The 25,724-nt window shown below is 39.2% G+C and overlaps 1 protein-coding gene across 2 annotated transcripts; it reads left to right on the plus strand.

Moving 5' to 3' along the window:
- On the plus strand, positions 72-22,570 carry RAB11A (RAB11A, member RAS oncogene family). Of its 2 annotated transcripts, none has more exons than NM_004663.5 (5): positions 72-206; positions 7,913-8,108; positions 8,343-8,536; positions 10,252-10,332; positions 18,282-22,570. In NM_004663.5, exons 1-5 carry the CDS (start codon positions 167-169, stop codon positions 18,419-18,421), a joined length of 651 nt encoding a protein of 216 aa, NP_004654.1. In that variant the 5' UTR covers positions 72-166; the 3' UTR covers positions 18,422-22,570. The 2 variants fall into 2 exon arrangements, with proteins under 2 accessions (NP_004654.1, NP_001193765.1); NM_001206836.2 differs by having other exon boundaries at positions 10,252-10,260; positions 18,305-22,570.
- The last annotated feature ends 3,154 nt before the right edge of the window (positions 22,571-25,724 follow it).

The raw sequence follows: 25,724 nt of genomic DNA on the forward strand, positions 1-25,724 counted from the left end.
ACTTCCCCTTAAAGGCTGGGGCCTGCCGGAAATGGCGCAGCGGCAGGGAGGGGCTCTTCACCCAGTCCGGCAGTTGAAGCTCGGCGCTCGGGTTACCCCTGCAGCGACGCCCCCTGGTCCCACAGATACCACTGCTGCTCCCGCCCTTTCGCTCCTCGGCCGCGCAATGGGCACCCGCGACGACGAGTACGACTACCTCTTTAAAGGTGAGGCCATGGGCTCTCGCACTCTACACAGTCCTCGTTCGGGGACCCGGGCCACTCCCGGTGGACCCTCGTGCCGGCCACCCCTGCACTGATATAGGCCTCCCTCAGCCCTTCCTTTTTGTGCGGTTCCGTCTCCTACCCAGCTCAGCCTCTTCTCCCCCGCTCAGACAGGGGTCCCCATCACATGCCGCTCTCTGAGCGACCTCTCCATAGGCCTTCGCTGGCCTCAGAGCCCCTCCCTGCGTGTCCTTCCCCTGGCGGACTGCCTTCTCCCACATCGTCGAATTCCTTTCCCCGGGTTCTACGGCCCCGCCGCTCCTCCCACCATCTCTCTTTTCGGGTGTAGCGCCCCCTCCCCCTCGGCGTACACCCTTCCCAGCTCGCGTCCTCTCCCGAAGCCCCTCTGACGGGTTCTTCGCTTCCCTCTTGGCCTTGCCTTCGGTGCAGACTCCCATTACAGGTCTTTTTCTTATCTGCCCTCTTTCCCCCCTCGAGCGAGCGTCTCTTCTGTATCTCCCCTCCACTTGGACGGCCGCCCCTCTAAGCTTCTCCCATCCCGGGTCCAGGACCCCGTAAAATCTGAGCGGGCCAAGGGCCTCCGCCCCCACCCTCCGCCCCGCGGTTCTCGCGGTCCTTAACCTTCTCTGACCGCTCCCTCTCCCACTCCCCATTTGGCAACTCTCTCTACCTTCCCTCCCCAAATCGTGTTTAGAGCTCCCTTGTCTCCGTTGCGACCTGGGTGGTGGGAGGGAGGGTAAGAGGGATCGCCCATCACCCACTCGCGCACTTGTCGCAGTGACCCGGCAGGCTGACATTACTTCCCACCTAGCCTTTTCTTTTCTTGCCCTCCCTACTCAGTGGCACCCAACCCGGGATAACTCTTTACTCGGTTCGCGAGATGAGGTTGCGGATGGGTGGTGGCTGTTATCCTTGCCAGACCTGAAGGCCTGGTTCCTGAGCAGGAAAGGTTGTGCGCTGCACAAATACTAGCTTGCTTTATCTCTATGAACTGGTTGCTTCCTGCTGCAACGCTGGGAGGATCCAACAGGAAGGGAAGAGCCCTAGTTAGCCACATACCTTTCCCAAAAGGTTGGGGGTGGGAGGAAGTTGTGTGCTCTTTTGGTTACATTAAATATTTATTATAAGATACGGAAACATGTAGTGCCCTTGGACAGAACATATTGGAGGGTCAGGGTTGGTTAGAAAGAATTGCTTATTGGTTGAGTCCGGAAGGAATCCGGTTTTTTTTTTTAATCAACGAAGATAAAGGGTACATTTTTCAATGAGAAGAGAGTACAGTAGATGCTTTTTTTGTTCAGTGAATGCACTCTCACTCTGATGCTCTTTCTCTGCTCCTGAATTGGGAAGGTAGCCATCAGTAGTGTGCCGAACAAAGATCATTACCACTGAGGAAGAAGCCATTGCTATTAAAGCTTTACTGTGGAGGGTGGAGTTTCAAGAGTGTTAAGCATGGTGACTGTTTCTGTCTTTGCCATTGGGTGCTAAGAATGATTGACTAAACCAAGCAGGAAAGATTTCTTTGCTTTCCCAATACTTTGCAAATCTTGTTATACTAACTAGTCTGCTGTTATACTCTTATCATCTCTTACTCCTCTGACTCAGAATATTCTACTGTATAGGGTGAATACTTTTGGTATCCACCCTCCCCCTCCATACTGGAAAGTACTTTCAGGGTACTTAGTTCATTTTACAAATACAAAACTGAGGCCTGGATTACAAAAAGTATATGACAGCATACCTTTTGCCGAAGGTATCTGAGATGATGTGAAACTATTTGAATCTCTTGAGACTTTGGGGTTAAAGGTTAGGTTTGTGTTTTGAAATATGGTATAATGGTAGTGTGCTTTTATAAAGGTTGTCTTTGAAGTAATTAATTCAGAACAAGATAGACCGTCAGGGTATTTCTCCTGTTTGGTTTGAACTTGAATGTTGGTTATACAAGGTCCTTTTATTTTTTAACAAAGAATATTAAATATTCTGAATTGGCCTAAAGTATTTTAACTTTTTGATTAGACCATCCTTCTAGCAACAATTGAGAGCACTGAGCTTTGGAATCACGTAGACCTCGGTTTAGATCCTGACTCAGGTCTTATATTTACTTTATGACCTTGGAAAAGTTAACTTTTCTGAGTCTCAGTTCTCTACTTTATAAAAAGGAAAATACCTGCCTCTTAAGATTGTGAGAATTAAATAATGAGACTGTTCGTAAAATTTTAACCATGAGGACTCAATAAATGGTAATAATGTGAAAGAAGTTACTGTGGTTTTGTCAGTTTTTTTTTTTTTTTTTTTTTTTTTTTTTGGAGACAGGGTCTCGCTCTGTCCCCCAGGCTGGAGTGCAGTGGCACAATCAAGGCTCACTGCAGTCTCGGCCTCCTCAGGCTCAGGTGACCCCCCGACCTCAGCCTCCCTAGCTACTCTCTAGCTCCTAGGAGTAGCTGAGACTACAGGAGCGCGCCACCACGCCCGGCTAGTTTTTTGTTTTTTTGTAAAGACAGGGTTTTGCCATGTTGCCCAGGCTGGTCTCGCACTCCTGGACTTAAGCAATCCACCTTCCTCAGCCTCCCCAAGTGCTGGGATTATAGGCGTGAGCCACTGTGCCTGGCCTTTGTCAGTTTTTTGAACCTTAAATGTAGGTTCAACTACAAGAGCATTTAAATATTATTAAAGAAAATAAAACTAGGAACTTCGAATGCATTTTATGTTTCCATGGGTTATGGTTTCATTTTGTTGTGCATTTTGCTGTTTAAGATAGGGTGTTAAAAATTCTGCTAAGGAGGATTTCTACTTTTTTTTTTTTTTTTTGAGATGGTATTTCGCTCTTGTTTCCCAGGTTGGAGTGCAATGACGCGATCTCGGCTCATTGCAACCTCTGCTTCCTGGGTTCAAGCGATTTTCCTGCCTCAGTCTCCCGAGTAGCTGGGATTACAGGCATGGACCACCACACCCGGCTAATTTTGTATTTCTAGTAGAGACGGGGTTTCTCCATGTTGGTCAGGCTGGTCTCGAACTCCTGACCTCAGGTGATCCGCCCGCCTGGGCCTCCCAAAGTGCTGGGATTACTGGTGTGAGCCACCGTGCCTGGCCAGATTTCTACTTTTTTAAAGCTCTTACAGGATATGAGTCACTTTTTCTTTTTCTTTTTTAACTTCAATGCTGATTATTTAGCCAATTTCTTATTTATACAAGTATCCTACTTTAAAGTGAAGCAAGAATGATTTTATTTCAAAATGGCTTTATTGTACAGAGATTTATTCACTGAGATGGACTGCAGCTGTTTCTACTTAGAAGGTTTACCTAGCAAATGCAATAGTTGAGGGAATTGGAGTTAGTTTGTAACTAACCAGTTCAAAATAAAGGGATATTTTGATTAATAGGGGATGGAGTGGTCTAAATAGGAATGTAATGTGGGGCGAGCAGGACAATTATTCTAAATTATGTGTTTGTTCTTGAACAGTAACCTTTATTTAAGCCCAATAGTGAGACTTTTGGTGGGAGGGAATTAGTTTTATTTTATTTAAAGTTGACTTTTTATTTTTAAAACTTTAATTCCTTAAGTATTTACGAACAATGTGGTTAAGGCCCTGTGGGACATAAGTAAGCATCAATCATGATTTCTGTTTACAAATATTGTGTGGTAGACACCAATCCACAGTTAGATTTTCTGAAAATATCTGGATACATAGTCTATTGCTTAAGACATTTTCTTTTCAATCACATTGGAGGTCAGTAGTAATTAACCATCAGCTGATTGTCAGTAGAAATTATCATAGGAACTTTGCTGTCTTGCATCTTGGTAGTAGTTTTTCTTTCACAAGTTTTGGTTGAGCAACTCAGATTCTGCTGAATCTGGAAAAACTTGTCTAGACTTGAGCCTTATTGTATGCATTATATCTATATCTATATCTATATATATATATTTTTTGAGGCAGGGTCTCCCTCTGTTGCCCAGTCTGGAGTGCCATGGCACAGTCATAGCCCACTGCAGCCTCAAATTCCTGTGCTCAAGAAATCCTCCTGCCTCAGCCTCCCAAGTAGCTGCAACTACAAATGTGCTCCACCATGCCTGGCTATTTTTTTTTTTTTAAGACTATCCCACTTACAGAAATAAAATTTTCTTTTTTGTAGAGATAGGGTCTCCCTACGTTGCCCAGGCTGGTCTCAAACTCCTGGGCTCAAGGGATCCTCCCACCTTGGCCTCTCAGAGTGCTGAGATTACAGGCATGAGCCACTGTGTCCTGCCTTGAACGCATTGTATATTAAAAACTTTTGAGGAGGTTGGACTATGAATATAGTTGAAAGAATAGAAATGTCTCCAAATTTATGAAAACTAGAATGAAAATTACCAGTTATTCTCTCACGTGGTAACTTTTAGGGTTGAGGTACTGTCTTTGATGAATTATATTTTAGTCCAGTAAATTAGTTTGCAAGAGAAAGTATAAAACTAAATGTGGTTGAAGAGGCAGAAATTTTCAATGGATAATTAATATGTATATTCTGCTTTTATGCATTTAGCAGCTTGATATTCAGTATTAGGTATTTGCGATGATACTCAAATACAGCAGATGTCTAGTTGATAACTTTTTTTTTTTTTTTTGAGATGGAGTTTCACTCTTGTTGCCCAGGCTGGAGTGCAATGGCGCGATTTCAGCTTACTGCGATTTCAGCTTACTGCAACCTCCGCCTCCCGCTTCAAGCAATTCTCCTGCTTCGGCCTCCTGAGTAGCTGGGACTACGGGCATGCGCCACCACACCTGGCTAATTTTGTGTTTTTAGTAGAGATGAGGTTTCTCCATGTTGGTCAGGCTGGTCTCAAACTCCCGACCTCAGGTGATCCACCCTCCTTGGCCTTCCAAAGTGCTGGGATTACAGGTGTGAGCCACCACGCCCGGCCTAGTTGAGATAACTTTTTAAAACATTCATGAATTTTGAGTTATTTTCAGATTAGAGTGCTTTTTTTTTGTAGTGTTAACATTAATTGGTTACATTAAGAGAAAAGTTCCCTTGCTATCTTTATGATGGTATAAGGAGTTGAGATTGGTGAGATAATGAACATAATCATTAGTTAAAAGTGGAGGTCAAAAGGGAGGAAACCAAAACTTGAAAGTGCTGGAGTTGGCCGGGCATGGTGGCTCATACCTGTAATCCCAGTACTTTGGGAGGCCAAAGCGAGTGGATCTTTTGAGCCCTGGAGTTTGAGACCCAGCCTGGGCAACATGGCAAAACCCCATCTCTACAGAAAATACAAAAAATTAGCTGAGCGTGTTGGCATGTGCCTGTAGTTCCAGCTACTAGGGAGGCTGAGGTGGGAGGATCCTCTGAGCCTGGGAGGTCTAGGCTGCAGTGGGCTCTGCTTGTGCCGTGGCACTCCAGCCTGGGCGACAGTGAGACCCTGTCTCAAAAAAAGAAAGAAAGAAAGAAAGTGCTGGAAGTTTTTTTTTTGAGACAAGTTCTGGCTCTACTCCCCCGGCTAGAGTACAGTGGTGCACAGTCCAGGCTCACCACAACCTCTGCCTCCCAGGCTCAAGCCATTTGCCCACCTCAGCCTCCTGAGTAGTTGGGACTACAGGCATGCACCACCGTGCCTGTCTAATTTTTTTGTTTGTATTTATTCATGTATTTTTTGTGTATTTTTTTGTATTTAAATTTTTTTTTTTGTATAAGTGATTCAAAGGCCATTTCCTTAGCAAACATCCAGCCTTTTGTACTAAGAGGCAACAGTGAATGTATCCTATTAATAATAGACTATTAACTGAAACTGAGATTTGACTTCATATCCAGAATGGTGGACCTTGGAAACTAGTATATCAACTAACCATCCTATAAAATTGAAAGTGCATTGCTTTTGTACATCACTTTAATAACTTTGACATTTTCTTCTGATATCAAATAAAAGCATGTATGTGTTTGCCACAGCATCTTTGACACCCTCTAGTTGACTCTCTAGTTAGAAATAACCATTCTTTGTGCTGCATTGGATTCACTGCCTCCTGAATGATTTCTTGCTGAATCAGCTGACTGAGAAAGCCAGAAAGATATGCATTTGATAATGTACTCTGTCCAAGACTGTCCAGAGGCTAGCTTATATCCACTCCTGTGGCAAGGAGGGAATGTATAATGGACTCTCTTTGCCCTCTGACCAGAATGCAGTGAGCTCTCAGTTTTTACCATTCTTTCCACTCGTACCACCATCCCAGTCTCTTTAGTAAGGAATGGTCTTACTCCTTGGCCTTATTTTTGTATGTTTGATTTTCTAGTCCTGATGTCTAAATCAATTAGCTAGTTTAGATAAGAAGAAGTCTTAGTAGTCAAAAGTAGGAACGAATGTAATGTTTCCTGAAATGCTGATACCAATTTTTACAAAGGAAAAAATATCTAGCTCAGATTCTATAAACGTGTGAACTCATTTTGAACTTTAAATTCAGATAGAAAATGTTTTAAAACAACTTAACTGCCTGTTTCTCCATTGTTTTTGAAATTCTTAAGCGTAATACCACTTTGAGTGAAAAAGAATCTCCATGTATCTAGTTAGTAAATAAACTGCTGCCTATAGAAATCACAGGAAGCAAATTCATCTAATCAAGACCTATTTTCAAAAAAATCATGGAGTCATAAGTGAAAGTATATGCCCTCCTTGCTTTGTTGTATTTTATTTTATTTATTTTTTTAAGACAGAGTCTCAGTGTGTCGCCCAGGCTGGAGTGCAGTGACACAATCTCGGCCCACTGCAACCTCTGCTTCCCGGGTTCAAGCTATTCTCATGCCTCAGGCCCACAAGTAGTTGGGATTACATGCGCCCACCACCACACCTGGCTAATTTTTGTATTTTTATAGAGATGGGGTTTTCACCATGTTGGCCAGGCTAGTCTCGAACTCTTGGCGTCAAGCAATCCGCCCACCTTGGCCTTCCAAAATGCTGGGATTACAGGTGTGAGCCACCACACCCGGCACTTGCTTTGGTTTTGACTCACAGTATGTCAGAATTATTAGTTTCCTAATACCCCCTGTTTATCTGTAGTGGCTTGGGTTTTTTTGGCAGAGGGGTCTCTAACTTTGAACCAATCTGATAAATGCAACTATTAAAGGTCATTTTAGTTTCTGTGATCTGTATGGTGATGTTTATAAACCCTATGCCTCATATGTTAAATGTTTTTCATTTTGCCTAGGTCTCAGTCCTGAGGTCACACCCAGTCTTTGATGAAACGAAGTATATTCATTTTGTCCTTCCCTACCCACTAACAGCCTTTGTTGTTTTCATTTCTGATACATTACATTTTAATATCATAAATTATTCATTTAGTTTAGGATTTATCTTTGAAGTTGTTATCTTCTAAAGTAGTAAGATTGGCATAGCATTGACGGTAATTAATGCCTGTCATCAATGCCAAGGGCATCTGTGATTAAAACTGCATGTTTAAGACAGGGTACCGTATCTGTGCTAAGCAGATGATATGTGGAAGTCATGCAGGTAGAAACAGGTTGAAAAGAATAAATCGGTTTTATTGATTGGTAACTGGTCAAGAACATGCTGTTCAACCCCCTACCCCCATTCCTTTTTAAAAGTCATATACCTTATTTTTCTTGCTTTATTTACTCTGAAGCCAAACTTCATTCTGTTGAAAGCATAGTGGTGTTCTGAATATGTTTGCCTCATTCATCTGACATTGAATTCTTTGTCTTTCCAGTTGTCCTTATTGGAGATTCTGGTGTTGGAAAGAGTAATCTCCTGTCTCGATTTACTCGAAATGAGTTTAATCTGGAAAGCAAGAGCACCATTGGAGTAGAGTTTGCAACAAGAAGCATCCAGGTTGATGGAAAAACAATAAAGGCACAGATATGGGACACAGCAGGGCAAGAGCGATATCGAGCTATAACATCAGCGTAAGTCTCATGGTTTTTAAGTTCTGTGAAATGGGTTGCCATCGAGTGAATTAGCTGACTTTTGGTATTGGAAAAAGAACTGTTGTTTTTTTCTTTTAAGAATTCTAGTATTAGGAATCCTTAGAAATTTATTTATAAGTATGTTTTTAAAACTCATGATCCATATTTTGAGTTCTTCCTGGTGTTTGCTTCCATCTTGTGGTTTTCTGATACTAAATATGTTTCTGTTTTCAGATATTATCGTGGAGCTGTAGGTGCCTTATTGGTTTATGACATTGCTAAACATCTCACATATGAAAATGTAGAGCGATGGCTGAAAGAACTGAGAGATCATGCTGATAGTAACATTGTTATCATGCTTGTGGGCAATAAGAGTGATCTACGTCATCTCAGGGCAGTTCCTACAGATGAAGCAAGAGCTTTTGCAGGTTAGTGATAGGAATTCCATGATATTTCTTACCATTGTGTCTTGTGGTTTTGATACCTTCCAATGAGAGTAATAGGTTATAATAGTTTCAGAGAGGTAAACATGAATGCTTAGCAAGAATTGTTTTGAAAGTTTGTGATGACTGTATAGCTTTTTTGCTTTGAGTCATTAAAACACTAATATTTTGCTGCCAAAAAATGAATATAAACATTGTATATTCTGTCTCTTTTTCTGTTATGTTTCTGTGTTTACAAAGGCTGCTGTACGTGAGCTCTATGTGAGTGAAAGGCAGAGGCTCAGGGAGTGTCAGGGACCAACAGGGATGCAGCTGCTTAGGAGCTGTAACTTTTTGGCTTCATAAAGAATTCACGTGTCTCTTGCCCCTGTTCTGGTAGGGACAGCATGCCAGAAGACAACATTGTGCATTGTGGCTAGTGAAAGTCTTGCGGCCGGGCGTGGTGGCTCATGCCTGTAATCCCAGCACTTTGGGAGGCTGAGGTGAGTGGATCATGAGGTCAGGAGATTGAGACCATCTTGGCTAACATGGTGAAACCCCGTCTCTACTAAAAATACAAAAAACCGGGCGCGGTGGCGGGCGCCTGTAGTCCCAGCTACTCGGGAGGCTGAGGCAGGAGAATGGCGTGAACCCGGGAGCAGAGCTTGCAGTGAGCCGAGATAGCGCCACTGCAGTCCGGCCTGGGCGAAAGAGCGAGACTCCGTCCCAAAAAAACAAAACAAAACAAACAAAAAAAGAGAGAAAGTCTTGCCTTTGCACTAATGCTTATGCTATGAATAACTTTCTGTAACAGTTTTTTAAATTTCCCATGCAAGAATAGCTTTATTGTAAATAATATGGCTACAACATACGGAATACTATAGCCAATGTAGTTGATGGAGAGGATAGCAAGAGATGGAAATAACTGGGCACTTGATACATTTTTACCACATTTTAAGTGGTGTCATTCGTCACTAGTGAGTAGTACTTAGATATAACAAGTATTTATTTTAATTAAGGAGCCAATTGACAATTTCTCACTTTTTTTTTTTTTTTTTTTGGGAGCCAGGATCTCACTCTGTGACCCATTCTGGAGTGGAGTGGCACAGTCAAGGCTCACTGCAGCCTCGACCTCCTGGGCTCTAGTGATCTTCCACCTCAGCCTCCTAAGTAGCTGAGACTGCTGGTGTGTGTCACCACGCTCAGCTAATTTTTAGTATTCTTTATATAGAGAGAGCAAAACCTCTCTCCAGTGTTTTGCCATGTTGCCCAGGCTGGTCTTGAACTCCTGGGCTCAAGCAATCCGCCTGCCTTGGCCTGCCAAAGTCCTGGGATTACAGGAGTGAGCCACCATGCCCAGCTCTCTTGCTATTATTTTTAATCTATTAAAGTGTAAATATTAAAGTGTAAGTAGGGTCGGGCATGGTGGCTCATGCCTGTAATCTCAGCATTTTGGGAGATGGAGGCAGGAGAAACTCTTGAGGCCAGGAGTTCAAGACCAGGCTGGGCAACCTAGTGAGACCTGCATCTCTACTTATATAAAGAAGTAAATAAAGTAAGTAAATAAATAAAGTGTAAACAGAATGGTGCCCTTACTGTCCCAGAAGTTGAGGAGGTCTTAAGTTTTAAAAAGTTCTGTTATTTTTCCTTTTGAGGGCTTGAGTATATCCTATTCCTTGTTTTAAAACTTAACAAGACTGAACTTTTGTGTCTCCCCTCAGAAAAGAATGGTTTGTCATTCATTGAAACTTCGGCCCTAGACTCTACAAATGTAGAAGCTGCTTTTCAGACAATTTTAACAGGTAAGACTTGTATTTTCAGATTACACCAGTAGGACTAGAAGTTTTAGGAAGGTAATTTAAACAAACTAATCAGTAACTAAACTATATATCAGCCGAGAGTGACTATCATTTGAGAGCTACTCTAGCAAAAGCTGTTTAGAGTGCAAAATTAACTACAACCCTTGCTCACTGAGCTTCAGTTGTCCTAATTCATCTGATTTATAGTGGGAAAAATACTTTGAAAATAATTCATTCACTTCCATTATTACTTCAGTCCAGGTATTCCATTCTTCATGGTCACAAAGTAATGTTTAAATGTACTTTTATGAGGTAAATATTGAGATCCCAGCTATAGAAAGATATAAATGCCCTTTTTTAAATTTAGTAAAGGCAAAGCTAGGGAAAAAACATTTTTAAAAATTATAGCGACAAAATAAAATTCTCCCATGATACAGAAGAAGGGTATCCCTTGCGTATTCTATATTGTATCATGGGAGATAATTGGTAGATAAAATCAGCCAATGATTGCATATAGAAAAGTTTTAAAAAGTAGTTGGAAAGAGATGGAGTTCATGCTGTTTTGGAATGTGAATGACCAGGTCAGCCTCTGAGATAAGAAGTGTTCACTCATATTTATCCTGAAACTATTAGAATAACCAGATTTATTAGTAAGATTAGTCTTAATCTTCTAATTAGTACTTTGATGGGTTGTTTTTAAATACTTTTAAATTGTATGTTACTTTTAAGAACTCATGATTTAAAATGTGGTCTTAATATATAGTATAGTTTTACGTGGCATTGTTCTAAAAAGTCTATACAGAGATATGATTGAGTTTCCAATTATAATGTAACAAGTTTTGATTTATTGTTTGTATGCAGCCCCTGTATTAGAGATTAACAGATTTTAACTTTAACATGTTATCTTCTTTTACTGTAAAAATGTAAGCGTAAAGTCAAGGAGTTAAGATTTGGAAGCCTGACTTGGGTTCTAGTCCTGGCTCCTCCACTTACTGTTAGTTGTACAATCTTAGGCAAGTTACCTAACCCTTTTAGGCCTTAATTTCTCCATCTATAAAATTCATATATATTTTGAGGAGTTTTGTTATTTCTTTTTTGAGAGAAGGCTTATATTTATAAAATCTTGTGATAGGATTTGACTTGACTTTTGTGACCTAAAGGTTTTTTGTCTCAGTAACCCTTAGCAAAGAATGGTCTGTCACTGCCCTAGACTTCAAAAATGAGTACCTGTAAAGTACCCATTTTGAATACTGTAAATTACTTATCTATCCCTGGTATATAGAGAACAGTTGGCAAATTAGTAGCTGAACGGCAATTAAGGCATGAGAAAATTGGAGATTTATGTACCTATTTTATTATAATTCTTTTCTGTTATCAGAAGAATAGTGCTGGGGTTGGATAAGCAGTCTTTGGAACACAGTAGCTTTCCTTTAGAATGTTCTCTGTCAAAGTTTCACTGCAGATTGTTTTAAGCAAGCAAGATTTGATTAAATATGTAGTATGTCTGCAAGTCCTTGTTTTCTTTATAGCCATTTGTGTACATTTTATTAAGTCAACATGTAGAGTACTAGATTGAGACCCAGGAGTTCTAGGGCATTACATTTTTATCACTTTGCTTCTACTCCCCGTTTAACTAAAGTCACTGAACCTCCCTGCTCCTCAGAGTCATAGTCTTAAAACATGTGAATTAAATTACCTTAAAGATGTGTGAGCATTTTAAGGCCTCAGAAAGTCTCATCTGAAAAAACTTTTTAGACAGTCCTCATTGTTGGAATATTTTTTATGTTCCATCAAATCTCCTCTGCTGTAATTCTGGCCCATTTATTCTGATATTAAGTGAAGATGAGCCCAAGTCTTCCATCTGCAGTTAACTATTTTATGCATCATTTTGTAACATTGAGCTTCTGATCCACTCAAACATGAACTAGTCGGTACTTAAAATTGAGCCCTTTAAGAGCTGGGCATGTTGATGCACGCCTGTAATCCCAGCATTTTGGGAGGCTGAGGCAGGCGGATCGCTTGAGCTCAAACATCCTAACACCTGTAGAACAACACAGATGTCTGCTGCCACATGCAGTGATCTCAAAAGTTCAAGACCAGCCTGGGCAACATGGTAAAACCCTGTCTCTAAAAAAAAAAAAAAAAAAAAAAAACACAAAAAAATTAGCCAGGCATGGTAGTGTGTGCGCCTGTAGTCCCAGCTGAGGTGGGAGGATTGCTTGAGCCTGGGAGGTTTAGGCTGCAATGAGCCGAGATCATGCCACTGCACTCCAGCCTTGTGGGCAGAGTGAGATCCTGTCTCAAAAAGAAAAAAAAAGATGAACATATAGTTGCTTTTCTTAAAATTCACTCTAGATTGAACTTTTGTTACAGCTTAATTGTTGCTTGAAAGCAAAGAAGACTTTAGTTTCACTTGCTACCACTTTTCCTTTCTATATTCACTGTTTCCTCAGCTTCCTGCATAAATCTCACTGTTGGTCTGTAGGATCAGAGATCACTGCATGTGGCAGCAGACATCTGTGTTGTTCTGCAGGTGTTAGGATGTTTGTTCTAAACTTTCTTCCTCCTGTATGCCAGTGGAAGTGTGAATGCATAGAGAAAACAGTGAAGAGGACAGACTCTTTATTGCACTTGATTCTACCTTAAATGTTAACAGTCTTAAGGGAGTATTTACGTTGTGTTTTGATATTGCTGAAAGAAAAAATAGCTTTAAAATTTCTAAAAATTGAGATGGAGCCCAGTCTGGTCTTGAATTCCTGAGCTCAAGCCATCTGCTTGCCTTGGCCTCCCAAAGTGCTGGGATTATAGGCATGAGCCACCATGCCTGGCCAAAAATTTTAAGTTGTAAAATTATATATCAGAAAATTTACATTGTTACTTCAGAGTTAATTGTGTTGTTGGTTTCAGAATAGACCCATGGCATTCTTGACACCCATGAATTTGAAAGTGACTCCATGAGATGATTTTGCTGATGGTATTTTTTTAGAGGTAGTTTACTAGTATGAGAGTGAGACTGGTAGATTGCTCCGCCTCTGAATTTCAGTACAGCTTTGTCTTTTCTCAGGTTCACTAAAGGATGTTTTTAATACATACCTTTTACTTTTTTATTTTAACTTTGCATTTTGACAATTTCAAATTTAAAGAGGTTGAAATAATAGTAAAAAGAATTTGCAAATATCCTTCACCCATATTCCTCAGATGTTAATATTTTACCACATCTGCTTTGTCCTTTTCTTTCTCTTCGCTCTAAATATATACATATTTTTTCGGCACCATGTGAGATTAAGTGGCAGACATGATGACCCTCATCCTTGAGTACTTTTCAGTGTATATTTTGTAAAAACAAGGATATTCTCTTTTATAGCCACAGTATAATTATCAAAATCAGAGAGTTAGATAATAGTGCCACATCAGTGTTTAATTACAGACCTTATTCAGATTTTGCCAGTTGTTCCAATAATACCCTTATTAGCCAAAGAAAGTCCAAGATCAGGTCATGCGTTTCATTCAGCAGTCATATCTCTTTAGTCTCCTCTAATCTCGAACAGTTCCTCAATCTTTTGTTTATTGACCTTGACATTTTTGAAGGGTACAGTCCAGTTATTTTGTTGTGTACCTCATTTTGGGCTTTTCTGATTTCTTTCCTCATGATTAAACTCAAGTTATACACTTTTGGCAGGAACACCACAGAAGTGTTCTCAGTGCATCATATCAGCAGGTTTGTGATAATTGGATGTCCTATTAATTACTAGTGATGTTAACTTTGACCACTTGGTTAAGGTGATGTCTGCTAGGTTTCTCCATGTAATTAATATGTCCAGGATATCTTTTTAGCATGAACACTAAATTCTTTTTTTTTTCCCCTGAGTCTTGTTCTGCCAGGCAAGACTCTGCCTCCTAGGTTCAAGCAATTCTCGTGTCTCAGCCTCCCGGGTAGCTGGGATCATAGGCCTGAGCCACCATGCTCTCTAATTTTGTATTTTAAGTAGAGACCGGTTTTACCATGTTGGCCAGGCTGGTCTCTAACTCCTGGCCTCACGTGATTCGCCTGGCCTCCTAAAGTGCTGAGATTACAGGTGTGAGCCACCGCCCCTGGCCTTATTCTGCTTTTGGTATGTCAGAAAATTTCCATAAAAAAAAAGTTAGAGATGTATTAACTGAATTACTACATTTTCCAAAATTAAGAACTAATTTCTCAGAAGTTGAAAAACAGTAAGCTGTAGTCAACTGAATATGTAAACTAACAAAAACAGACAGCAAGTGTATCTTTTCTTAGATTCTTTTGTGGGGGAAGGGGAGTGGCTAAAATTTATGTCTGAGAAGGTTGACAGTGGTTCAAATGTGAAGAGGCATTAAGGAAAGACAACTAGGATTCAATAAAGACAGGCTACTAAAATTAAAATTAAAAAAAAAAAGGATATGGAATCTTTATTTAGATTTTGTTTCAATGAAAAAGGATGGGATGGGAGGGTGCCAAGGCTAAAGAAAAGGATTTACCTTTCAGTCATTCAATCAGATGAGTGGCTAAGGAATAAAGATAATTAACTTGCATCTTTAAGCTTTCCCTCTAGTCTCAAACTGGGAGGCTCTTCTTTTTCAAGTGTAAATTATGTGTGTAAATTAAGATGAAATATGTAACCCACTGTAAGTTTTAACTTCCTTATAAATTGTTTTGAAGATTAAATTAGGGGAACCAAAACAAAGAAAAGTTCTTACATAAAAAACAAATATATGTAAAACTGGAAGAGAGGGAAAGGCAGACTTCTCAAAGAACATAGAGAAGTAAATAATTAAAGAGATCTCATTACAAAGCAAGAAATTTGAGCAGTGTTGGTGTGTTACAAGTACAGCATACTGTTTTTTAGAAATAGATTACTGCTGCACTTACTCCAGTTACCAAAAAGGATGTCTGCTAATAAAAATGCCACCAAAGCAATAAAGAGTGATTGGCTTTAAGAGGTTCCACAAGTAATTTACATACTTAAGTCTCTTGTGGCTGGGTGTGTCATTAAAAAAAAAAAAAAACCAAACCAAAAACCTGATAAGAAAGTAGGAAGCAGGTAACTTCTAGCTGTCTGATTAGAGAAGGTTATTTCATTGGGAGTTTTGTGGGGGTGGGGGGGTATGCTAAACTAGATCTATTTCCTTCTTTCAAAGGCATGTTCTCCTTTAGAACCAAATGAATATACCAATTCCTATGCAGTCGCCCCCACCGTTTTTTTTTTTTTTTGGAGACAGGGTCTCACACTGTCCCCAGGCTGGAGTGCAGTGGTGCAGTCTCAACCTCACTGCTCACTGAGTGAGACTCTGTCTCAAAAAAAAAGGCATTCTCCTACATAATCACAATACCATATGTCGTATCCAAGAAATTTAACATTTATACAGTTTTTTTTTTTTTTTTTTGAGACAGTGTGCTCTGTTGCCCAGGCTGGAGTGCAGTGGTGCTATCTCACTACAACCTCCCCTCCGGGACAAGCGATTCTCCTGCCTCAGCTTCCCAAGTAGCTGAGACTACAGGCGGGTGCCACCCCACCTGGCTAATTTTTTTTTTGTATTTTTAGTAGAGACGGGGTTTCACCATGTTTGCCAAGATGGTCTTGATCTCCTGACCTCGTGATCCGCCCGCCTTGGACTCCTAAAGTGCTGGGATTACAGGCGTGAGCCACCTCGCTTGGCCCATTTATACAGTTTTTAATGTGCAATCCATATTCATATTTCTTCAGTATACTAATAATGTCCTTTGTAGATTTGTTTTTTAATTAAAAAATTCAAGATCCATTTAAAGATCACATGTATAGGAGCCAAGGGAAGTGTCCCTATTGCCCTCTGAAGGTTTGCTGAAAGCTATCTGATACAGCTTTGGACCTTTCACGAGGTCCAAACGATAGGTAGAGGTTAGGAAGAAAAAGAATCCTGCTTTATCATTTTTATATCATTTAGATTTCTCTTGTAGGAGATCTAAATAGAAACCTCTGAAAGTTTGCTGGAAAATCAACTCACAAAAGGCATTTTAATTGGAGAAAAGGCATACGAAATTTATTAACATGTACACTGTACACTGGTTTTCTCTGGGGAGAACCAGAGAGATGACCCACCTCCCAATGGCATTCAGAGGCTTATGCCATTCTGGCAAAACAGGTTATGGGAAGGAGGAGAAAAGGAATTCTGTTGAGGGGATTACTGGGGAGGATGAACGGATCAGTGGACAGAAATTAATTGGTACATTATCTCGTGAAAGAGTCTGTTTAAGTGTGGTTACATTCTTGATCTTACAGGGAGGGGAAGAAAAAACAATTGTCCCTTTTAGTGGGTCTGGATCTCAGGCAGATGAAGGAACTTCAGCTTCATCCTGTGCCAGGGAGAGAGGATGAGGGGGAGAAGGTCAGAGAGACCTTGAGGCTTCTTTAGTTCAGCATATCAAAACGCCATTTTGGAGTATGGGTTTCTGAGCCTTAACAGATGGAATTGTTTTGTATCTGGGATGTTGAATAAAGTAGCCACAGGTTACTATTGAGCACTTGAAATGTGGCTAGTTAGATGAGGAATTGGATTTTAAATTTTATTTAATTAAAATAGATGGCTACTCTCTTGGATAGCACAAATTTAGAACATTTATCCCCATCTCAGTCTGGATTTATCTCATTATTTCCTCATGATTAAATTAGTTTTAAATATTTTTGTCAGGAATACATGGTGTCCTTTATAGGAATACATTGTGTCTTTCCTAGTACATCGTATTAGGAGGCTAATTGTGTTAATTTGACACATTTTTAGAATTATCTTGCTTTTTGAGAGTAGTGTTTTTGGAGGGACAACTGGGAGAGTAAACAAAAATAAGGTACATTCTCTGTTCTTAAGGACTTTATAATCTAGTCACAGGGAACAACTTTTAGGCAGTGCAGTATAAGACCAAACGTGTTACATACAGATACTTATTGTGGAGGAATTTAGTGACATTCATGCGGTTATTTATTTATCACAACACATGTTATATGTTGCAGTACAGCAGTAAGACAGACACAGTTTTGATCCTTACAGAGTTTAACACTTAGTAAAAGAGGCAGACACTAAATTATTTTTGATAAGTGTCATGAAATAAAAATAGAGTTTACATATAACATCTTAAGTTGCCTATTTTGTATCATTCTTTAATTACAATTTAAGTTTTGTTCAGGAGGTCACTGATAAACACATTATCTTTTTTTCCCTTCCAAGAATCGTTTGGGATTTTAGCATGTTTGTTAAGATGTACTCTGCCGAATGCGTCTGATAGTGCAAATTTATTTATTTTTTGTGTGGTACAATGTCATTGTGTGTAGGCAATTTTTGTTTGTTTGTTTGTTTTTTGGGGTAAAGGTAGACTGAAAATACTCTTATGGTTTACTTTGAATCTAAGTCCATAAACAATGTAATGCTATTGGCTTACCTCTTTTTTTTTTTTTTGAGACCGAGTCTTGCTCTGTTGTCTAGGCTGGAGTGCAGTGGCACGATCTCATCTCACGACAACCTCCGCCTCCCGGGTTCAAGTGATTCTCCTGCCTCAGCCTCCCGAGTAGCTGGGATTACAGGCACCCACCATCATGCTTGGCTAATTTTTGTATTTTTGTAGAGACAGGGTTTCACCATGTTGGTCAGGCTGGTCTTGAACTCCTGACCTCAGGTGATCTGCCTGGCCTGGTTTACCTCTTTAAACAAAGATTTATTTGACTGGTGAACCTTTCCCTCTGACATGGAAAAACCTTTGTTTCTTTTCTTACCCAAAGGGCAATTGTTAAAATAAAGGGTTGAATCTAATCAGTGGCTGTTTGAAAATAAAACTTTAAATTTATGTATTCTCTGTTCAGTTTCCTTAGGGACTTTGATGCAAATATATCTCCTACCTTTATGTATCTTTTATCCTAACTATGATAGGTTTATTCACACTAAGTATTGTGGTTTCTTTTTTCCTTCAGAGATTTACCGCATTGTTTCTCAGAAGCAAATGTCAGACAGACGCGAAAATGACATGTCTCCAAGCAACAATGTGGTTCCTATTCATGTTCCACCAACCACTGAAAACAAGCCAAAGGTGCAGTGCTGTCAGAACATCTAAGGCATTTCTCTTCTCCCCTAGAAGGCTGTGTATAGTCCATTTCCCAGGTCTGAGATTTAAATATATTTGTAATTCTTGTGTCACTTTTGTGTTTTATTACTTCATACTTATGAATTTTTCCATGTCCTAAGTCTTTTGATTTTAGCTTTATAAAATCATCCACTTGTCCCGAATGACTGCAGCTTTTTTTCATGCTATGGCTTCACTAGCCTTAGTTTAATAAACTGAATGTTTGGATTCCTCAGTTATTGTTTACTTTTCATCATGGAAGCCTGTCACTGTATGTAGGACATAATAGAACTTGATCACTTGAAGCTCAGACCTATTGGTCTTGATCAAATCAAACTAAGAAGACCTTAGAAATAAGCTACCATTTTGCCACAGAGCAGCTTATAGGTAATACACTCTTCTCTCAGTGCAGTGTACATTTCCACAAATCTAAGAATTGCCCTATAAACATAGCAGGATTTTGAGAGCTTGAAAATTTTCCATTATTCTGGACATGAATTTCTAAAATGCCTTAATAGGTTTATGTAGTTGAGTAAATTTTGTTTTTTAATTTTTGTAAGCATCAAAGTTGATTAGAGAGGGGGGCACTTTTTCTGGAGAATTCTCTTAGTAAACACAAAAGATTGTTACGGTTTCATTAGTAGTATGGTTGTGGGGCCATAAGTTAAACAGTGCTGCCTGGTAGGCTGGGAACTGAAGAGACTTGTGGTATTCCATCTCGGGTGCCTCTGTTGGCAATGATCAGGCAGCCCAAAAGATTTAAATGATCTATAATAATTTCCAAGCGGTAGATTATGTGGCATTTTATTGCTCAGGCAATAATTGGTTTAATGCTGGTAGTGTCAAATTTTGAAGTGTTAATTTTGTCTTAGAACCTTCCAGTAAGTGAAATACAACCTAGTTTTATCACCATATCCACCAGCAGGCATGGATAATTATTTTAACAATGCTAATATTTGAGTTTTGCAGTATATTATAGAATATAGTCCAGTTAAATCTTTGGTTTCAGTATGTCTGAAGAGTACAGTGAGAGGTTAATTTCTGCTCAAGTGGTACCACTTAAAGGCATGTATTCTTTTAGTATGTAAAATGAAATAGTACCTTGAGTTTAAATAGAATGCATTTAGGCATTGTAGAGATCTGAAATAGTTTTCTTCCACTACATTGTTGAAATCAATGAAGCAATTAGTTTCTCATTCAGAAATGTGCACACTAATATTTAGTTTTGCTTTCTCGTGGATAATATTAAGCACTTACTCTGCAGTTTCCTGGAAGTTGTGTCAACTGCAGTGATACTATTCAGGATGGTGGGAAATCCCCAAAAATATGTATGTGTGGGCTTGCTTAGATTACTATATTTCATAGTTAATCTTTTGTCTCTTGCGGTGCTCATGATGTGTGGGGCACACGGAAGGCATTGCTGTAGTCAGTCATTTTGGTTTTCTTCTATAGCCATTTTATTATTTTAGTGTATTAGTTATGAAGATAATATTATCTATTTGTAAATTGCTACTTTGTATTTTATGCATGCTCTGTAATTTGATTTTTTTTTAGTTATTGATTTGGATTATATTCACATTCTAATAAACAGTTATAGGGGGATTATTTCTTATGCTGTCAGATTACATTTTTCCTTTGAGTGCTTTGGGTGCAGCCGTGGAATCCTGATGTAAAAGCATAGGTTCTTGCATTACTGAGTAAACATTGAATTGGGAGCATCAGTGTGTGAATTCAGCTTTGATTTTAGAACTGCAGTTCAATTATGCTTTCCTTGGAAAAAGTATGTCCAAAAACATTAGGAAAGTAGTGTGTATTTTCATATATAACAGTGTCACCAGACCCAGGAAAAGAAACCATCTCTATTTTATTGAAAGTTGGTGGTAGATTTTTTACAAAGTAAGGAGAAAAGAGAAAAACTAAATAGTGAATTGAAAATGAATAAAGTAAACTTAGAATTTTTACCCAAGTGTAGACTTAAATGTTGCTTTGAGTATGGCTGGATCTTGGGAGAATTCCAGGAAATATTAGGTATTAGAAAATGACTTTGATTGCATTTCAGCAGGTGTCTTTATTCTGAGTAGTATCTTAGGAGACAAACTGTCTCAAGCAAGAAACAATAAATTTTTAAATATTATGACAGTTCAGGGCTTAAGGCAGTTTAGAAGTATTTTGCTACTTGACCTTGATTTTCAGTTATTTTAACTTTGAATTTTTTTTTTTTTTTTTGAGACGGAGTCTTGCTCTGTTGCCCAGGCTGGAGTACAATGGCACCATCTCAGCTCACTGCAAGCTCCACCTCCAGGGTTCATGCCATTCTCCTGCCTCAGCCTCCCGAGTAGCTGGGATTATAGGCGCCAGCCACCACGACTGGCTAATTTTTTGTATTTTTAGTAGAGACGGGGTTTCACCATGTTAGCCAGGGTGGTCTCGATCTCCTGACCTGGTGATACACCCACCTCGGCCTCCCAAAGTGCTGGGATTAAAGGCGTGAGCCACCGTGCCTGGCCTTGAATTTTTTTTTAACCTGTTATATAGTCTCCTGAATAGTTAGCCATGGTGCCTTGATTTAATCTTATGTCATTGTTCTCAAATGCCATGATTTCTCTTTAATAGTAGTTGTCATTATGTAAGGGTAAGTTATTGCCCATTTAATTGTAATTATAAGAAGAGGTGCCAGCTAGTGACCTTACATCAGTGATCTTTTAAGTTCTGAAGGGTTCTGCAGAAAAGTTACACTTCTTGAGTTTGGGTTGCCCATCAGAGCTGGTCACATTTCTTTGATCATTGAAAAAATGAATATCTTAATTTTTGTCTTTGCTGACTGGTATTTATAAAATACAAATGCTTTTAGTGGGTTGAGCTGTTGTGATAATCTCTTCCATCTACCTTAGAGAAGAAGCTGTACTATTTAGACAGTTTTGGCCAACACTAGAAGCAAAAGAATTCAAAGGCTGGGTGGATATTTAAGAACTTATTCTAACCTGTCAGGTTTCAATTTGTGGGGCTTGGTTTAACAGAGGAAAAAAATATAAATTGATTTTCTGATGTCTCACAAATATCACATACCTGGAAAAAAATTAAAACAAAAAATGAATTTTGTAAAAGGTTATGTATGACTTCCATTTGCTCTGTAAAAAAATGAACAAAGATTGTGAAAGGATCCTCTTCCACCACATCATTTAATGGGTTAGCGGAACAGATAGGGAGCTATGACACTAGCACCAAAGAGAGATTTTTCTTCTGGTTGGGTGGTGCTGGTGCCACGCCCCTTTCTGGGATTTGACAAGTCTTTCCCACTCACCTATACAATATGCCAAATCAACTGGAGTTGTCATTCTAATGTTTTAAAGAATGATTGGGTTCCCCCAAACTGTAGGAGGTCGATGGTAACAATAAAGTGATACAAAATGCTTATGTCATTATAATTTATGTAAGGGAGACCATTAGGCTGAGAATCAATATGATTGAGGTTATCTATTCTCCTGAAAAGTGAATTGGAGAATAAAGAAAGAATATTTGAAAGGATGTTGTGTACTAGGCAATATACTAGCATGTATTAGAAAATACGGTAAACTGTGGGTTAGAAGAGTGAAAGTAGCTGGTATGATAGAGCACTGGACTGAGTAACGAAGAGATTCTAGTCATGGCTCTTGTGGTCATTTCATTTTTGAGCCTCACATTCTTCCAATTAATGAGGGTACCAGATTAAATAAACTCTGGGGATTCATCCCAATTCGAACTCTGTAATTCTCTGAATGAACTCTCTCTTCAATTAAAGCCAAATTATTAACATTTTAACTCAAGTTTAAATTTAATAGAGAAGTCAAAATGAGGTATGCACTTTGTGGAATGTTTTTGGTCTTATCACAATAACCTGATTAAAATGGTGCCTTTATTTCCATGTTTACTCCTTTAAATAAGATGAAAGCTTTCAGAACATTTATTTGCAAAATGACTGTCAATATCAACAATATGCATCAAAGTACCATATATGCTAAGGGAGAGGAGCACTTGATGGGCTGCTATGTTAACTGTAAATTGAGAACTGCTTGTTTTATGGCTTTTGCTGTTAAAAAAAAACTGCTGGCTTTTAATATGTACTTTAAAATATACTCATGTCTGGGAGAGAACTTTTAAAAACATTTTGTGTTTAATTTTTAAAAAATTATTTCTTTAATAGGAATCTACAAGAAGGTAGATCAGTCCACAGGCTAGCTATCCAGTAGAACCAGTGATTAAATCCAAGTGTACAGGTTTATGTGTGCATGTACATGATACACATGGTATTTTGGGGTTGTTGATCTAGTGATCTAATTATTAATAGTCAAAACATTATTTAAATTCAATTCTTTGACATTTATTAATTATAGGATAGTTCCTGACACGGGTGTGAGCACAAAATGTTATGTATATTGGCTAACTATGTTACCAGTACCAGTGATGGTAGTGAGAATTAGCAGCCAACAGGATTCCTTTACTATGTTTGAGTCAGTGGAACTTAACCTTGCTCCAAACCACAAAATCTCAGACCTTTTTAACTCTCATCCCAATGAATAATGTACTGTTTTTAGCACCTGTCCCCCTGTTGACAACCTCTAATCTCTCAGCATACCATTTTCTCAGGTATTTCTAGGGAAGTGGTACCGTTCCTTGTCATATCTTTTAAGAGGTTGCTGACCATTGTACTAGCCTCTATGCCAGTCTTTCATCATATGGGCCGAAGAATACTGTAGAAGAAGATCATGCCTGAGAAGGGACAGTCTGGGAAGCCCCAAGAAGCAACACTTTCCATAGGCTATCTTTGATGTGAAACCAATTCTGGAGGAGGCAGTTGGGGTCCTCAGTTACTAGTTTTGGTTTACATTAGAGTGGATGCCTAAATAACAGGACTGTACTTTGTACAGTCCCCATGCTTTCTCTTACCCAAGGATCTGGAGGGCCATCTGCTAGGCTGGACAGTGGCTTGGGAAGCAGAAGGTGGAATGAGGCGGGAATCTGACAACTGAAGCTAAAGACCAGAGCTTCCACTTTCTGTGGGTTTGGATTAGAGCATTGTTTAGTCTTTCTAGCTTTGCAAGCCCAGGGAAGAAAATACATAATCAGCACCCCACTAATCACCAGGGCTCTCCGTTTATCTCTCCCCTTTGGTAATCACTACATTGTAAGATCCACAAGGGCAGGGAACATGCTTTTTTCATACAGGTTGAGCATCCCTAATCCAAAAATTCAAAAATGCTCTAAAATTGGAAACGTGAGCACTAACATGATGTCACAAATGGAAAATTTCACACCTGACCTCAGGTGACAGGTCACAGTCAAAACGCAGGCACGCCACACAGTTTATTCAGTGTTCCCGCAGAGGTGTACAGTAACCTTTCAATCAAAACAGCATCGTAGGTGGAGACTGAAAGCCAGCTGTTGGTGGTGGTTAACTGCTGGTACAGATACTCTGGTGATGCTACTGTGCTGCTTAGTTACCCTGAACACATTCTTTTTCACTGTATTAATGATACATCATATTTTTTAAATACTAGTGTGAATGTGTGAATAAGTGTAAGAAAATGAATTGCTTATTGGTAGCATAGAAATTCACAGTCATGAATGATGGTGTTGCAAACCACCACAGATTGTCCACATGGGTGGCTGAGACAGTGACACCTTTGCTTTCTGATGGTTCCATACACACAAACTTTATTTCATGCACAAAATTATTAAAAATATTGTATAAAATTACCTTTAGGCTATGTGTACAAGGTATATATGAAATGTAAAATGAATTGCATGTTTAAACTTGGGTCCCATCCCAAAGATAGCTCATTATGTATATGCAGATATTCCAAAATTTGAAAAAATCCCGAATTTGAAATACTTCTGGTCCCAAGCATTTTGGATACTCAATCTGTATTTACATTCATAGTATCTATCTCCCCCTCCCCTTGACAGTTCCATGTCAGGACAATTAGGGAGGGCCATCTAAAAAGAGTGAGAGGGCTAGTCTTAGGGTTCATTCTGGTGTAGCCTGGGGAGCTATGAGAATTACTATTTAAATTTTAAAGTTTTTTATTAAAAATTATACAGAATTATATATTACAATTATATAAATATATACTTATATATAATTATTATACAAAAGTATAAAAGTACAATGAACCCCCCTATGTATCCATCTCTTCATAGAAAGAGTTTCCATCTCCTGTTGCTGCATATTGATTAAATGGGCCTCTTCTTTCTTCCCTCTGGTTAAATGAATGGCTAATGTGTCATTCTTGAGTGCACAACTTGCAGCAATTGGCCATTAGTTATCATTCATAGTATTGAGTAATATTCTGAGACTTGTAATGCATAATCTTACACTACTGTCAGTAAATATCTTTTTTAGTCTTAAAACTCTTTGATTATGTTTTGTCTTTAACTGAGATGTCAACTCATAGCTCTTGAGAATTACCTATTAGTAATTTCTTCTGAATGGGTCTTCAGAATGTGAGGGTTATGTACATATGAGGATTATATACAAACCTTTGGAACTATGAAGGAGGAATTTTAAACTTATTTGAATGAACTCAGTAAGCCATATTTTAGCATCTGTATTTTATTACAAAATTAATCCTGTTGCTTCTTTACCAGTTTGATCACAAGTTTATGTCTTTAAAGTTTATAAAATAGATATACCCATAGTAACTATACTGGATGATAACTTCTACTAGTGGAAAGCTATTCATTGCATTATAGAAATGAAGTGGACCTTACACTGGCCCTTATTCATTCCATTTAAATACCTTTGTGCCTCTGGAGCTGAGCACAAACTGTAATAGTTGTCTTTGAGTCCAAATGTTTGTGAAAGCTGAGAAACCCTCTTAATTTTAGTATACTGAATGTATATGAGATTTTTTTTTTTTTTTTTTTTTTTTGAGACGGAGTCTCGCTCTGTCACCCAGGCTGGAGTGCAGTGGTGCGATCTCGGCTCACTGCAAGCTCCACCTCCCAGGTTCACGCCATTCTCCTGCCTCAGGCTCCTGAGTAGCTGGGACTACAGGTGCCCGCCACCAGGCCCGGCTAATTTTTTGTTTGTTTTTTTAGTAGAGACGGGGTTTCACTATGTTAGCCAGGATGGTCTCGATCTCCTGATCTCGTGATCTGCCCGCCTCGGCCTCCCAAAGTGCTGGGATTACAGGTGTGAGCCACCGCACCTGGCCCCGAGATTTTTAAATAAGTTTTGAACATGAATAAAAATATGGTGCTCACATTTATTACTTTAAAGAAAGAGACTCGTCTATCAAAAATTTGATACAAGTTT

Source organism: Homo sapiens, chromosome 15 (assembly GCF_000001405.40).
Source record: "Homo sapiens chromosome 15, GRCh38.p14 Primary Assembly".
Taxonomy (NCBI): Eukaryota; Metazoa; Chordata; class Mammalia; order Primates; family Hominidae; genus Homo; species Homo sapiens.

What these genes read in the sequence shown, in the direction of transcription:
- RAB11A (NM_004663.5), top strand. Translation starts at nt 167, where the DNA reads ATGGGCACCCGCGACGACGAGTACGACTACCTCTTTAAAG. An exon ending in GTACGACTACCTCTTTAAAG is followed by an intron (nt 207 to 7,912) that starts GTGAGGCCATGG and finishes TTGTCTTTCCAG; the next exon opens with TTGTCCTTATTGGAGATTCT. An exon ending in TATCGAGCTATAACATCAGC is followed by an intron (nt 8,109 to 8,342) that starts GTAAGTCTCATG and finishes TTCTGTTTTCAG; the next exon opens with ATATTATCGTGGAGCTGTAG.